Source organism: Homo sapiens, chromosome 8, assembly GCF_000001405.40.
Source record: "Homo sapiens chromosome 8, GRCh38.p14 Primary Assembly".
Classification (NCBI taxonomy): Eukaryota; Metazoa; Chordata; class Mammalia; order Primates; family Hominidae; genus Homo; species Homo sapiens.
The window spans coordinates 23568692-23584915 of record NC_000008.11 but is presented as its reverse complement, the minus strand read 5'-3'; the positions used below and the strand labels follow the sequence as shown (position 1 = coordinate 23584915).

The 16224-nt window shown below is 45.9% G+C and overlaps 1 protein-coding gene across 6 annotated transcripts in view; it reads right to left on the bottom strand.

Annotated features, from left to right (window-relative positions):
- Nucleotides 1-9452: 9452 nt before the first annotated feature.
- Nucleotides 9453-16224, bottom strand: part of SLC25A37 (solute carrier family 25 member 37) — a 46508-nt gene continuing 39736 nt past the window's right edge. For 4 of the 6 annotated variants that reach the window (NM_001317814.2, NM_001317813.2, NM_001317812.2 and 1 more), the window contains one exon: nt 9453-13581. In NM_001317814.2, the coding sequence (NP_001304743.1) occupies nt 13061-13581 (521 nt within the window). In that variant the 3' untranslated portion in view covers nt 9453-13060. The remainder of the gene's footprint in view (nt 13582-16224) is intronic. The other 2 variants (XM_011544550.3, XM_006716352.4) reach the window with 1 other exon arrangement.

Here is a 16224-nt window from a genome sequence, read left to right as displayed (position 1 = left end):
CAAATCTGCCATATCTTTGAGGTATGACTCTATAGCCAACTGATCTCAGACAAAGGAGCAAAGGCAATACAATAGAAACAAGTAGTGCTTTCAACAAGTGGTGCTGGAACAACTGGACATCCACAAGCAAAAAAAAAAAAAAAATGAATCTAGTCACAGACCTTATGCCCTTTACAAAAATTAACTCAAAATGGATTGCAGTCCTAAATGTAATATGAGAAACTACAACATTCCTAGAAGATGACATAGAAGAAAATGTAGACGACCTTGGGGTTGGCAATGCCTTTTTAGATAAAAACCAAAGGCAGGATCCAAGAAAGAAATGATAAGATGGACTTTATTAAAATAAAAATTTCTGTTCTGCAAAAGACACTGTTAAGAGAATGAAAACCCAAGCCATAGACTGGGAGAAAATATTTGCAAAAACATATTTGATAAAGGACTACTATCCAAAATATACAAAGAATCTTTAAAACTCAACAATAAGAAAACAAACAACCTAATTAAAAAATGGGCCGAAGACCTTAGCAGACACCTCACCATGAAGATGTACATGTGGCAAATACACATATGAACAGACGCTGCACATCATATGTCCTCAGGGAAATACAAATAGAATGAGATCCCAGTAAAAACCTATTAGATGGCCACAATCCAGAACACTGATGACACCCAGTGCTGATGAGGATGTGGAACAACAGGAACTCCCATTTGCTGTTGATGGGAAAACAAAATGACACAGTCATTTTGAAAGACAGTTTTGGCAGGTTTTTTATTTTTTTATTTTTTTTTTGAGACAAAGTCTCGCTCTGTTACCCAGGCTGGAGTGCAGTGGCATGATCTTGGCTCACTGCAACCTCTGCCTCCCGGGTTCAAGTGATTCTCATGCCTCAGCCTCCCAAGTAGCCGAGATTACAGGCGTGCACCACCACACCCAGATAATTTTTTATATTTTTAATAGAGACGGGGTTTGGCCATGTTGCCTAGGCTGGTCTCAAACTCATCGGCTCAGGCAATTTGCCTGCCTTGGCCTCCCAAAGTGCTAGGATTACAGGCGTGAACCACCGCACCCAGCCCGGCAGTTTCTTACAAAGCTAAGCAGACTGTTACCTAAGATCCAGCAATTGCCCTCCTTAGCATTTCCCAAAGGAGTTGAAAATCTATGCTCACACAGGAGCTACACATGGATGTTTATAGCAGCTTCATTTGTAATTGCCAAAACTTGAAAGCAACCAAGATGTCCTTCAGTAGGTGAATGAATACATGGAGTACATCCAGACCAGGGAACATTATTCAACAACAAAAAGAAATAAGCTATCAAGACATGAAAGGACATGGAAGAATTTTAAATGCATGTTACTAAGTTAAAGAAGCTAATCTGAAAAGACTACATACTTTGTATGTTTCCAACTACCTGACAGTCTGGAAAAGGCCAAACAATAGAAACAATAAAATGATCAGCAGTTGCCAAGGGCTACCGGGAAGGAGGAAAGAATAAACAGACTGCAGAGGATTTTTAGTACAGTGAAACTATTCTGAATGATAGTACAGTGATGGATACAAGCCATTATATATTTGTCCAAATACATAAAATGTACACCACCAAGAATGAACCCTAATGGAAACCATGGACTCAGAGTGATAACGATGTGTCAATATAGGTTCATCAGTTATAACAAATGCATCGGTCCGATGAGGGATGTTGCCAGTGGGGGGATAATGCGTACATGGGAATGCGTTATGGAAAAAATCTAGTATCTGCCTATCAGTTTTTCTGTGAACTCAAAACTGCTCTAACAAAATAAAGTCTATTTTTTAAAAAAGTTTTAGACATATAGACCCTACAATAAAAAACATCATGGAGGCCAGGCACACTGGCTCACGCCTGTAATCCCAGCACCTTTGGAGTCCAAGGCAGGTGGATCACAAGGTCAAGAGATCGAGACCATCCTGGCCAACATGGTGAAACCCCCTCTCTACTAAAAATACAAAAATTAGCTGGGCGTGGTGGCACGCACCTGCAGTCCCAGCTACTCAGGAGGTTGAGGCAGGAGAATCGCTTGAACCCAGGAGGCGGAGGTTGCAGTGAGCTGAGACTGCGCCACTGCACTCCAGCCTGGCAATAGAATGAGACTCCATCTCAAAAAAAAAAAAAAAAAAAAAAAAAACATGGAGAATATACAATGTGCCTTCCTATAGTAACAGACTGTGGGAAAATAAGGGCATCACATTCCATGAGCTGCTGGCAAACAAGACCCATTTTGTTTCAAGCACTAGGCTGGAGGGCTTGGACTGTACCAGAGACCAACAGTCCCCACACAGAGTTCAGAAAGATATATAGGCAAATAAATTATTTACTTGCAAGTAATTAAAAACATATTAAAGAAAAGGATGTGAAATAGTCACATCCATCATTCTCCTATATCAAGTTCCTGGATTTTAGTCTTTATTTGTAGAGTAGTTTAGGAAGAGGGAAGTGAGAAGAAGTAAAGCAAAATGGTAATGAATGATTCTTTATGGTAGGTAAGTTAAAAGGCCTGTGAGATTTTCCTTCTAATTTCATCTAAAAAGCATGTAATCATATTTTAATCATAGACTTAGAGGCTAGATAGAGCCTGTACTCTGTGGACATTATTACAGGCTAGAGAAGCTAGAGGAGTTATTATTACACATCATCTGGCCCAATCCTTTCATTTCGCAGCTGAGGAAACTGCAGACCAGAGAGATTAAGTGATATACCCAACATCACCCAAGATCACTCAACCAGTTTAGTGACCTGCAGGACTAGCATCTAGGCCTCTGACCCATCTGTTATATGCTCAATGGCTAAAATGGACCAGAGCAAACAAATCACTTCATTATATGAACCAATAAGAAAATTATCCTTGCATTGGAATCCTCTCAAAGGTAATTGTATGCTTTTCAAATGTGGCTTTGAGAAACTTGCTGATCTTAAAAACAAAAGAATTATAGAAGCCAAGGTGGACATTCAAGAGAGCATCAAGAAACAAAGATTTTGATGGAAGTCAAAATCAGCAAAAATAATCTCTTCAAGATAGGAAGCTGGATCAGATTAAGTGTGACAGTAAGAGTCTAAGGACGTTTGTTAAATGAGTGCTCTTGACAACCCAAGCTCATTGGAACACCAGGAGGCTTAGAACTTCATGTTCCATTCTGTGTAAAGGAAGTTTTTCTACCATGATGAGTAATAGGCCCAGGGTTTAGTTCATTCTTCCCATCTAGAACATTCTTTTCTCCTGGCTGCTCTTCCCAGTATGACTGCCTCTCAGTCTCGTTAACCATAACCCCCTTCATGTGTAATTTATCCAGATTTTACTCATTTGTGAGCTTGAGGGGAAATGTGAGAGGGAGTCATGCAGGACAATTTGCCCTCAGACGTTGGACCCTACCTAAAGATTGTGAAATGACCATGGAGTTCCATTGTTATGGATATACACGAAACCCTGAATGGATCACTGGATGTGCTAGAGACTATGCAAAAACCCAAGGAAGCTCCTAGCACTTAGGTATTACCAGTTTCCAGGCTGGTGATGTTTTTGTAGTCTTAGACCAAAGCCGCTGAAGCTTGGGCATTGGCCTTGAGTCCTCAGGTTTTTCTGTTGCGGTCAAGGACTCTCAATGTTGAAAGTGCTAATAGAAAGCAGCGCCCATTAAAGTCTCATGAAGCCCAGAGCTACAGACAGAAGACATTATGAATATCCATAACTATTTACATTAAAATTTGCACATTGATATGGTTTGGGACTGGGCGGGGTGGCTCACACCTATAATCCCAGCACTTTGGGAGGCCGAGGCGGGCGGATCATTTGAGGTCAGGAGTTTGAGACCAGCCTGACCAACATGGTGAAACCCCATCTCTACTAAAAATACTAAAGTTAGCCAGGCGTGGTGGCACACACCTGTAGTCCCATCTACTTGGGAGGCTGAGGCAGGAGAATCACTTGAACCCAGGAGACGGAGGTTGCAGTGAGCTGAGATCATGCCACTGCACTCCCGCCTGGGCAACAGAGTTAGACTCCATCTCAAAAAAAAAAAAAAAAAAATATATATATATATATATATATATGGTTTGGATTTGTGTTCCCACCCAAATATCATGTTAAATTGTAATCCTCAATGTTGGAAGTGGGGCCTGGTGGTAGGTGACTGGATCATAGGGGCAGATTTCCCCTTTGGTGTTGTTCTCATGATAGTGAGCTATCACAAGATCTGGTTGATTAAAAGTGTGTAGTGCCTCCCACCTCGTTCTTTCTTCCACCTGCTCTGGCCATGTAAGACAAGCCTGCTTCCCCTTTACCTTTCGCCACGATTGTAGCTTTCCTGAGGCCTCCCTGGCTATGCTCCCTGTACAGCCTGTGGAACCGTGAGCCAATTAAACCTCCTTTCTTTATAAGTTACCAGTCTCAGGTATTTCTTTATAGCATCAGTGCAAGAATGAACTAATACACACATTATTTATTTCTAAACTTTATGCAGACACAATCAGGGAAAGATTGAGGATGTGCTGGTATATTTCACCAGCTGCTTGCATTAGGCTCAACGTAGAAATCTTGGGATATATATTTATCACCTGTCAATCCAAGCTAAAGGTGTCCATCAAGAGAATATTTTCACTGTTCAGCAGGCAGCAAGAACTCCTTCCACGAACTCACATACTGATGAGGACAAACACCCTTGGTACATATCTCCCTTTGTTCTTTTTAAACTCCCTCTTCCCTTAAAGGCAGCCACCCCAAGGGGCAGCATGACAATAATGAAGAAGCCAGATGTCCACAGTCCCTCTTTCTGCAGCTCTGGGCTTCATGAGGTTGCAGTCGGGTGCCCATTCAACACTGAGAGCACTTCACAACAATAGAAATACACCAGGACTCCAAGGCGACACCCAAGCTTCAACTGCTTCAGGTTGAAGACTAAAACATCACTGGTATGATTTTGATTTATACTTTTTGTCACAGACGAGTTTCTGCTGACAGTGGACAGGGGTTGGGCTGTCTGTCTCTGCTAAAGTGGCCCTTGTGTCCTCTTAGCAGTAGTGCTGGGTGCTCTGCCCAGAGTCTCACTTACTATGGAAAATGAAACATCAAAGCTACCATAGGTAAGTATGAGCATAAGGAAAGAAGAGCTTCTTAAAGAAGCTATGGCAACAGGAACCTGGAAGTCTGGAATTGTGTAATATCCATGGCTTCATAAAAGAGAGGTCACATGTTTACCAAAATAACATTACCTTTAGGAGGCAAGGCCAGAGAAATGGGGAAGCTCAGAAGTATCCTAAATTTGATAAATGTATTGGGAATAAAGATCTTATGGTATGTTGCTGGGGACCGTTAAAGAAATTTCTTTCCTACAAAAATACCAGGACAGCCAGGATTGTCTATAAACCATTTAATTTCTTGATAGATATCGTTTGTTTTCCAGCTTTTCACTTTCATGAACAAGCCTGGGATGTGCAGTTTTGAGTGTTTGTCTAATTATTGCCTTTAGGTAGCCTCTGAAATATTATGCTAGATACAGTAGGAATGGTGCTGGGTGCAGGGGGTCAGGGGAGGGGGAGGTGTGGAAGCAGCTGAACTTGGTGAAGGTGACATTTAAAAGGGAATCCAAAAAGGCAAGAGAGTAAGTGCAGGGAAAAACAAACCGGGAACAAAGAAGACAAGAGCAGGGAGAGACAATGTAGGTTTTTGTTTTTTTTTTTTTAATAGCTTTGGTTGCTTATATTTCACTCCTAAGCTTGTAGAACTGATTACTACCCCTCCTCTGTAAAAGCCTCACCTCTTGGTTACTTCATAACTCTCTGACCACTCCAGCCTCTCCTGGTTCCCATTTCTCTCTTCACTATTAAATGTAAGCCTTCCACGAGATTGTTTTTCTCCCTAGGGACTCTCCTCTGCCCATGGCTTTGGCCACCACATCCCTTGGCCTATATGCCAGGTCCTTTGTTCCAGTTCCAGCCTTTCTCCTGACCACCAATATTGCATTTCCTTCTGGGGGTCTCCACCTGGATGTCCCACAGGAGTTTCAAGCTTAACAGGACATCAGAAGTTTGTTACATACAACGAACAATAACTGTCACTCTTATGCAGAATGCGGGAAACAGTAGGCTGGAGGGCTATGGAGAAAACAGGAGTGAATAAACCACAGTCTCTGCCCTCACTGGGCACATAATTCTGGGCAGAAGGCAGCAAAAATGCAAAGTGAGGTCAGCCATGGCAGGTTGGAGGCCTGTCAAAGAGGCTGTAGATACTGACAAAGAGGAAAGAAAGATCACATAGACAGGCAAATTAGGAGGAGCTCCACAATGTGGTAGTAAATGCTATCTTCAAGGCAGCCTGAAAAGGGGACTTGAATGAGCAGAGAGGAGGTGGCAGGAAAGGAAGACATTCCAATGGGAACAAAGTTCTGCAAAGAGCACAGCACCACCCTGTTAAGAAGATTAAGACCTCAGGGTCTTACACAACCATCCTGCTGACCTATTCTGTTTCTCTCTAGTCATTTCCTTACACACGAAGCTAAACTGGGAACTGCCATATGCAGGAAAGCCTATTAAATTCAATCAACAATGAAGAGCCCTTGAAGGTCTTAAGCAACTGAGTAACACGGTAAGCCTCTGGCAGCAAGGGGGGATAGTCTCTTAAGAATGGAGGACAAGTTGAGATCCAAGAGATCTCCAGCAGGCCACTGGACATTGAAATCTGGAGTTCAGGAGAAGAATCGGGGTGCTACAGCCCCATATCTAAGAATCATCTTCCAGAGGAGGGCAGATCAGCACCAAGGGGGTGTGGAGAGACAGGATCCCCAGCGGCAGAACCTTTCCAAGCAGCCATACTTAGGTGGCCCGGAAAGGAGCTGAAGCTGGTGAAGGGCCAGAGAAGGTAGTCATAGAGGTGGGAGGCCAGCAGAAAGCAGGGAAATGGAAGTCAAGTAGGGGAGCTAAAGAGAGAGCCCTCAAGTGTTGTGCATGTTCAAGGAGAAAGACTAGGGAGGGACCCATGGACTTAGAGATGTGGAGTCTATGCCCAGGGAGGAGGAGGACTAAAGACAGACTCATGGACTTGGAGATCAGGCATCTATGCCAAGAAGGAGCAGGACTAAGGAGAAACCCATGGACTTGAGATGAGTTTTCCATGCCCAAAGAAGAGGAGGACTAAGGAGAGACCCATGGACTTGAGATGAGTTTTCCATGCCCAAAGAAGAGGAGGACTAAGGAGAGACCCATGGACTTAGAGATGAGGGATCTTCTCTGCCGCCATGTATTAGTCCTCACCGCCAGGTCTTCCTACTCCTCTCAGACAGCCCAGCCTGTTCTCAGCATGCCCTAGAGTCCTGCGCCCCCAGGCCTCTGTTGACTTCACCTCTACACTCTCATCGATCCAGTCCCACTCATTCTGTTTCAGTCTCCTTCACCTTTCTCTTAGTCATCCCTCTTCTGGACAATTTCACTGTGACATGGAACTGACCATCTCCTGGCCTCCTCCGTATTTCTTCTTCACTTGGTCCTGTACACTTTAGCCAGATGAGTTTCCCTAGAACCAAGCTCCAATCATGGTGTCCCCTGCTCAAATACTCTTCATAAGACTCCCCATTACCTACTGCTTAAAGGTCAAACTTCTTACAATGGCAGTCAAAGCTCTTATGTGCAGCTTACTTACCATGAGGGTGTCTCCTACAAAGCCCTTATGGATGCAAACCAAGCTCTTTTCTCCCAAATTGCTCTTATTTCTCTTAGGCTACTCACTGCATTCAGACTTAGACCAGAGGCAATGCTTTGTTCCCTTGCAAGCAATCATAACCCACCTCCACATCTGCCCAGTTGGCTGTGTCTTTCTCTTGTACAAGACTAGGCTCATTACTTCTTCTCTGAAATGTTTGTCACATTAAGTCCCCTCCTTGGGTAGGAGCAGAGGTCTCTCCTGGAAGAGGTAGCTGATAACTAGAAAACATGCAACTCAGTAAGGAGACCTTGCCCCTAGAGGAAAGGTATACCTTCCTTTCATGGCCTTTTTAGGGCTGGAATTTGAATGTGGTCGTGCTGGAGAGGGCTCTTGAGTGATAGAAAGATGCCTCCATGAGGAGGCAGGTGGCAAACTAAGAGGGGCACCACAGAAGGGCCCCCTAGGTTGACACTGGGTTCTACTTTTCATATTTTCCTCTCAGCAAATCTTCACTGAACACCTAGCACATACCAAGCACTATGCTATGTGCCAGCAGTGGTGTGCTGATGAACCAGCTATTGGAAAAGCAAAGGCCTTGATAAGTAGCGCTTGACGATTTCTGTGGTGTAAATATTCCCACTGTTGCTGATTTCAAGCTACCAACATGGTAATATGGAATGTGAAGCTGGGAAGGAATGTGCGCTGTACAACCTAGAGAGCTGGTGCAGGGCCAGCCCCAGCACACCACTGGCTGGGAATAAAGCAGCAAATAGGACAGACAAGGCCACTGTCTCATGAAGCTTGGTCTAATGGGCACAAAGCTACTGTTTTGCTTCCATGGCTGACTTTGCTACCATCTTGATGGGTCAAGATCTGATTGTCTTAAGGAGTTTGCATCTCCCCTTGTACTCTTCTACTAGGCTGTAAGGCCTTCGAGGACAGGGACCACATCATATACTTCATTCTGTCCCCAGCACCTGCATGAGGCTCTGCTCATGGGAGGCACAGCCAATTTGTTGGCTGACTGATTCCATGGTGGAGGGAGAGGGGGGATATCTGTTGAATGAATCCATATCTACTGGAAGCAGACCAGCTGTGCCGCCCACCCCAGAGGAGGGGAAGCAACCACAAGTTGGAGTAGCACAGCATTGGCCATAGGTAAATTACAAAACAGGGAGTTTATCCCAACGCTCCCCATCCGCTAACCACCACCCCTTTCCACCTCCAGGCACCCCTGCATTGGCCAGGTCTCAGGCCTGACCTCAATTCTGACCCTGACCATGGCAGGCCAAGGGCTTCAGTGGTCATACTGAAGGTGGGTGCTCAGACTTTCAAACTTGTGGGAAGCATCAGAGTCATCCCTGGCTTCTCAAAGGGGTCCAAACCTTCCCTCCTCCCACCTCCAAAAGAGGTCACGTTCTCTTGCTTAAGCTGAGGTGTAAGACAGAGAAAACAGGCATGAGCACAGCACGTTCCAAAGAACCACTTGTAGCCTGCCACACACAGCCAGGCTCTCACAATGAGAAAGAAAAGTGCCACCCTCGCCAGCATGGTGAGCCAAGCCAGTGGGAGGGCTCCCGCTCCTGCCCAGCAAGACAATGCAAACACCACCATCAATCTGCTTGCCCTGGGGAAATGGGGTTGCAGGGGCTGTTCCTATCAAAGCTGCAGACCTTGGTCCTTAGTGCTCAAGAGGAACAAGCATAGGCCCCGTGAAGGACGTCCCCTCTTGCCATCCACTCCCTTCTCATTTCAGGATTCCCACCACAGAGCCCACAACACTTCGAAGATCAGTACTTTATTTTCTCTAGCTCCAGTGTTTTGCAACTGTAGCAGCATATCAGAAACATCCCCACACAAAAACACACAATTCTCCCCTTCTTCAAAGAGCTGGCAACAATTGAGAGGCAGAAACAATAGTTACTACAGGCATTTGAGAAATTTAAGAAATAACACTTGCTCACCCTTGAAACATACATTGTTCGTCTTGCAGGTAGGAAGCAGCAGTACATTTGTCATTCAAAGACACAATCATCCTTAAATAAAGTTAAATAAAACCTTATTGGCATAACAATGTGTTGGAGATGCAGCTTTATGGGGACTTTGGAGGAAGGTGCTTGGAATAAGACATGAGCATTTTAAAAGAAAAAAAAATGAAGAAAGCAAACTACACATAGAATGTAACCCAGTAAATAGATTCAATGCAAAGTTAAGAAAACATAGTCATGGGGAGAAGATTTCACCCATTTGGAAAAAATCAGTTTATCGTTCTAAAATAAAGCTTTGATCTACAGGTAGTTGAACCTCAAATCATGGTTTGGACAGAAGAGCTACTCACACACACATCATGTAAAAGTACGAGTGCTGTACTCAGGTGGCACTAACTGGCTGCAGATGTCACTCCAAAGACACCAATGACTGAGTACGTGCAAAGGTTACACTGAATTGGTCACCAGGGTGGGATAGTGGGGTGGGGAGGCCTCTTCCTATTTTGCACTTTGCATTGTCAAAGTCACAATAAGAAACCGGACTGCAGTCTGCGTGGAGCAACAATACCAACTTTGGAGATAAAGGCCAGATGGGAAAGTTAATTTCTACAAAATTAACAAACACTTGTATCTGCTCAGTGCTTCACAACTTTCAAGGCTTTTCTCAACCTCCTGATGACCAGGCATGCAGGCTGGCCAAGTGGCTCCCCAAGCTGACTCATCCCTCATCACACAGGGAGGGGCCTGCAATCAGGGCCCACAGAGCTCCAGGGTCCGGTTTTTGCCTTTCCTTTTTGACAGAGTCACTCTGTCGCCCAGGCTGAAGTGCAGTGGCACAATCTCAGCTCACTGCAACCTCCACCTCCTGGGTTCAAGCAATTCTCCTGCCTCAGCCTCCCAAGTAACTGGGATTACAGGTGCCTGCCACCATGCCCAGCTAATTTTTTGTATTTTTAGTAGAGATGGGGTTTCATCATGTTGGCCAGGCTGGTCTCAAACTGCTGGCCTCAAGTGATCCGCCTGCCTCGGCCTCCCCAAAGTGCTGGGATTACAGGCATGAGCCACCACACGCCACCTTCACCTCTCCTTCTTGCATCCCTCTAACCAAAGGAGTGCTCCTAGAGAAATCAAGTTTATTTTCTAAACACCAGTGAAAGCAAAATCCAGTAGGAAATACCTTGCTTCAGCGTGGCATATCTTAAGTGGACCAAAAGGGGTGGTAGGATAATTTTTTTACAAATTTGCTTTAAATTCTACTTTGAAATTTAGAATTTGATTTTTTTCCCCTCCATTTGCAGAATTTAACACCATTTAACACGAACCCAAGGCAGGTTGAGAGCGGAGATGTAAACATTTTCAACAGTAGCGTGGACTTTACGGCTTTCTACATCCCCATGTGGGTTGAGGCTGCAACTGGTTTTGGGGAGTGGGGGGCAGAGCAGGGAGAAGGCGTTAACTGCCAGATGGGACAGGGCAGCAGCCAAGCCCCACAGCCCAGCTGCAAAGGGCTGTTCACGGGGCACACGTGGGAGGTACCCAGTTTGGCTCTTTCCCATCCCTGATCTGAAAAAGGAACTCCACTGACTGATAAAATTCTTCATCGCTATTAGGGCAAAATCTACTCCCCAAGGCACTGTGTGCATGGTCCCAAGATGGAAATTCTCCACGTGTTACTTCCTAGGCAGTAGCACCACTCAAAAGAATCCAGGCCTGCGCCTCCTCGGTAAGATGCACCACGCTGACCGTGATGGGTGGCGGCAGGTCAGGACCCGGCTCACTGAAATGCAAACATACATGAGCTTCCTGCTCATTTTTAAAGACAAGCTCCGGTGAGGGCTCCAAATCAGAGACAGTGCAGCTCGTCTCGTCGGTATTCCCTTGCACGGCAGCCTGGCAGAGCACCAAATGGCACAGCTAGGGAAAACGGGCTTGTATTTTCTCTGAGCGGCAATCTGACTCGGCACACACCATTTCAGAAAGCGAGGCTGCGAAGCCTGTGTTCTCGGGTGACGCAGAGCAGACAAGGATGCAGAATGGCTTCTGGAGAGGGGTCTTCCGACTCGGGCATGAGGGTCCAGGTCAGACCTCAGCCGCAGGGCCCTAGCAGATAGGCCTGGCTCTTGTCACATGCAGTGAGAAGCTGTGACATGAGAATTAATGGTTGGGACAAGACAGGGACAAAGACTGGAGACATGCTTCCCTAGACTGCACAGGGAAACACAGGAGATGAGATTCAGTCAAAACACACATAGATCACGTTACCTGAAGTGCCTGAGTTAAAAGGCTGATGCAGAAATAAGTCCTAGGATGAAGGTAGGATTTATCCCAAACACCTGCCCCACAAGTCGCCAAATGCTGCCTATCAAGGGCTTCTAAGTGCTGACCGGGGAAGGCAGGCATTCACATCACTCACAACCAGGGAAGGAAGCAGTCTCAGCAGGTTTATGCCCAGTCACCCCAATTCTACTGGGCTCCACCACCCTCCAGCGGGCGAGATCCTGCCACCCAGCATGTGTGCGTGTGTGTACACAGCAAGAGAAAATAGGCCAGGGCCAGATCTCTGGTCCTGGAATTTTGGGGAAAGACAAAGGAAAAAGGCACATGAAGGTGGCTGATTGAATTTAAAAGAAAAAAAAAGGTAGCTGCAAGTGACATATCATTATTTTGATTTTTTTAACGTACCTTTTTTCCCCCATGAAAAGAGAAATTCAAAATATAAACTTTATTATTTTACATTCAAGTGAAACTTCCATCTGGAGGGGCTAAACACAGCTGCCGGCCACATTCACTGATTTATTACTTTGTTGCCTTTTTCGTTCACCTGATGGAAGAATTCAACCCTCTTAAAAACATAACAACAACAAAAACAGCTGGAGAGTCCCAGCCGTAATACTAGGTGTAGACACGCACAAGCACACACACAAATTCAAAAACTTCTACATAGAAAAATAAAGGATAAACATTATCCATCTATTTTGTACTGTGTAATGCAACTTTTATATACATAAATTTTTTTTTTTTTTTTTTTTTTTTTTTTTTTTTTTTTTTTTTTTTACTGTTTTCAGTCACTGCAAATTTTCTTCCCTCCTCTGGGATCTAAGGATCCAGGGAGGAGGCTGCCACAGTGAAGCAGAAAAGCTACATTCTGCCCAGGGAGGAAGAGAAAAAGCAATTTCTCGCTCCCCTTCCCAAGTCCTTCCTGTCCACCACCACCTCGGATGTCCCCGCACACAGCCTTCCGGTGAGCGGCCGTGCCGTCCCCTCCTCTCTCTAAGGCATTGGGGAGCAGAGGGCCCATAGGCAGCACCCTGCAAAAAAAAAATGATCTACGTGTGAGGAGAGGGCAAGGGGCTGGATGCAGGCAGAGAATGACTTTAAGAAAAGATTCTATGATCCCTTCCTTTAGTATGGAGCTCGATTTTCCAGCTGGCGCTTGGTGAGAAAGTACTTGAAGAACTCATAGACAGACCAAGAAATGGCGGTGGAGGGCATCTGGTAGATGACACGCGCCTGGATGCCTTTGAAGTAGCCGGCCAGGCCGTTGAGCTGGTACACCGTCCGGAAGGCATTGGCCATACCCGACAGCCGGCCGCTGATGTTGGCCAGCGAGAGGGCCACGTTCTCCTGAGTGTTCAGAAGGGTCTTACAGACGTCCAGGGGGGTCGTGGCGGCCGCGGCGAGGGCCCCGGCCAGCCCGCCTGAGATGATGTGGGACTGCGGGTTGTAGGTCCGGTGGGGGTTGACCTGCTCCTGCAGGAACTCATAGGTGATGAAGTGGATGGACTGGAAGGGGATGTTCATGGTCAGCTGCGTGGTGTAGCTCCGGTAGAAGGCCCCCAACCCCTCGGTCCTCCACACCGTCCGGATGCAGCTGATTGCTGACCGGTGCTGCGAGTTGTACATCTGCAAGCGCTGCTTCACCACTGTGGTTGGAACCGCGGGGCAGGCCAGACGGACAGCCAGTGGGCAGTGGGTTGGATGTGGCCCCACCCCAGGTCGGAATGAAGCCAAGCCATAAAGAGAAACAAGCCAGTTAGACACCGGAAACAGGCGAGAGCCAGCACACACAGCCCTAGTCTGAGCAGCCGCGGAGGGCCAGCTCCCGGCAGTCCTAGGTTAAAATCCATTTTTATCTCCAGGACTCACGCCTGGAAGGTGGCTATTTCCGTCTCTCCTGCCTGAATCTTGCTGAAGGCAGCCCCCGAACCAGGCAGCCACTTCAGACTAGAGTCGCTGATCTGTTTCCCAGATCCTGGCTACCCCTGGTAGGAACCCTCAGGACCCACCACAAAGCTGAATCCTGTCCCCTGTCCCCTCTGCCCTCCTCCTTCCCCAACACATCTACTGGAAGCGTGCCCCCTTGTGTATTCTCAGGGGTTTGTGCCTCTAATGGTAATTCTAGCTTCTGTGACACAGTGCGTTTGGAACAGACACTAGAATTATGTCTGCCCAAGTTCAATGACATTCTAAGTGGAGTTCACAGGACAAGAGGCAAATGAGACTAACTGTGGTACCTTAGGCTCAGGGTTTTAATGGCCTCATGTATTGCCAAATAAATACATACAATGTGCTTTACTTTTAAACAAATAAAGACTGTAAACCAATAGTTATGACAAGGAGAAAGAGAGAGTTTGAGCCTCACTTTTTTCTACTTTAAAAAAGATAAACAAAACCCTTGCTTGGTTACACGAAGTTAACTACCTGTTTACTGACTGGGTCCCTGAATGAACTGTCATAAAAAGAAGCCCAAGATATATAATATGTAAGCGAATGTTTATTTGGGCATTTTTAGGTTTTTCATTGAACTACTTCCTAGAAGGGTTTCCTCTCCACCCCACCCCACCCCCCACCACCGCTTACCTAAGAATGCCTCTTTCCTGTCCCCAAAACACTGTCTTGAACGCATTCATTACAGGACAAGCCATGAAGGCAGGTCAGTTTACTTAAGGACATCACATCTCTTGAGAAAGATAATGTGTACAAAACAAAACAGAACATGAGCTGTCTTTCTCAGCTCTCTACTTTGTAAATAAAAAGGGGGAAAGGTGTGTGTCCCTTCAGCATGCCTCGTGCGGCACACGATAAAGAAATCAAGGGGAATGGAGAAGGTGATTTTCTTCACCTGCCCATCGGGTCAACCTCAGCACCCAGACCACAGAGACTCCCCGCCCACCTCCCAACCTGCCCCATCACAACCCTGAAGGTCAGACCAAGTCCTCTATCTGCTAGGACATGGAGGGTAGCTGAGAACAAATTTAATAGCTTCACCTTGAAAGACAAAAGACAGGCAAACTTATAGCATGAGACTTAAAATGTTGAAACTTTTCTCACCAATTCTCCCTTCTGGCCAGGAACTATTTTCAGATGAGGCAAAAAGGTGAAAAGAGCTCCACAACTCACCTAAAGCCATCGCCAGGTAGAGAATGACCCAGCTGAAGGCCTGCCCAGTGCCAGGCCCAAAAGGTACTCACTATTCAGACACGAGTACCCGGCTAAGACGCCGGGATATATAAAAAGGGAACAGACTCTGGTCTGCCCAGCTGAGGCTTGCTTCATATTACCCCCGAAATTTAAAAGAACAAAAAGAAGATAATGTGGAAAGAGATGGCTAAAACAAAATGACCCAATGTGAATTTCTGAAGAACAGTGATGGACACACTGCGGTACATCGTATTATTCTCTCCACGTTCACATCTGTTTGAAATGTGATCCATAATCTTTCATATTAAAAACAGTCAAATTGAACACTAGCCCTAAAGAATAGCCTCTGATGGGTTCCCCATACATTTGTCTAGGATCGATAAGGGTTAACAAGGGCTAAGAGAGTGAGTGTGTGTGTGTGTGTGTGTGTGTGTATGCACACATAGGTTTTAGAATAGTGCAAAAGCATGCAACAGAATCACCAATAAACAGATTCTGGTCCCTAGCTCCAGGGATTCTGATCCAGTAGGTTCGGTGTAAAGCCTGAGAATTAGCCTTTGTTTTCTTTTCTGTTTTGAGGCAGTCTTGCTCTGTCGCCCTGGCTGAGTGCAGTGGTGCAATCACGACTCACTGCAGCCTCAACCTCCCAAACTCAAGCAATTCTTCCACCTCAGCCTTCCGAACAGCTGGGACTACAGGCATGCACCACCACACCTGGCTAATTTTTGTATTTTTCATAGAGACGGGGTCTCATTATGCTGCCCACGCTGGTCTTGAACTCCTGGGTTCAAGAGATCTGCCTGCCTTGGCCTCCCAAAGTGCTGGGATTACAGTTTTAAACCACCATGCCGGCCAGAATTAGCATTTCCCTTTTTTTTTTTTTTTTTTCCTTTTGAGATGGAGTCTGGCTCTGTGGCCCAGGCTGGAGTACAGTGGCGTACTCTCGGTGCACTGCAACCTCTGCCTGCTGGGTTCAAGCGATTCTCCCACCTCGGCCACCCCAGTAGCTGGGATTACAGGTGCACACACCACACTAGGCTAATTTTTGTATTTTTAGTAGAGATGGGGGTCTCTCCATGTTGGCCAGGCTGGTCTCGAACTCCTGACCTCAAGTGATCTGCCCACCTCGGCCTCCCAAAAAATGC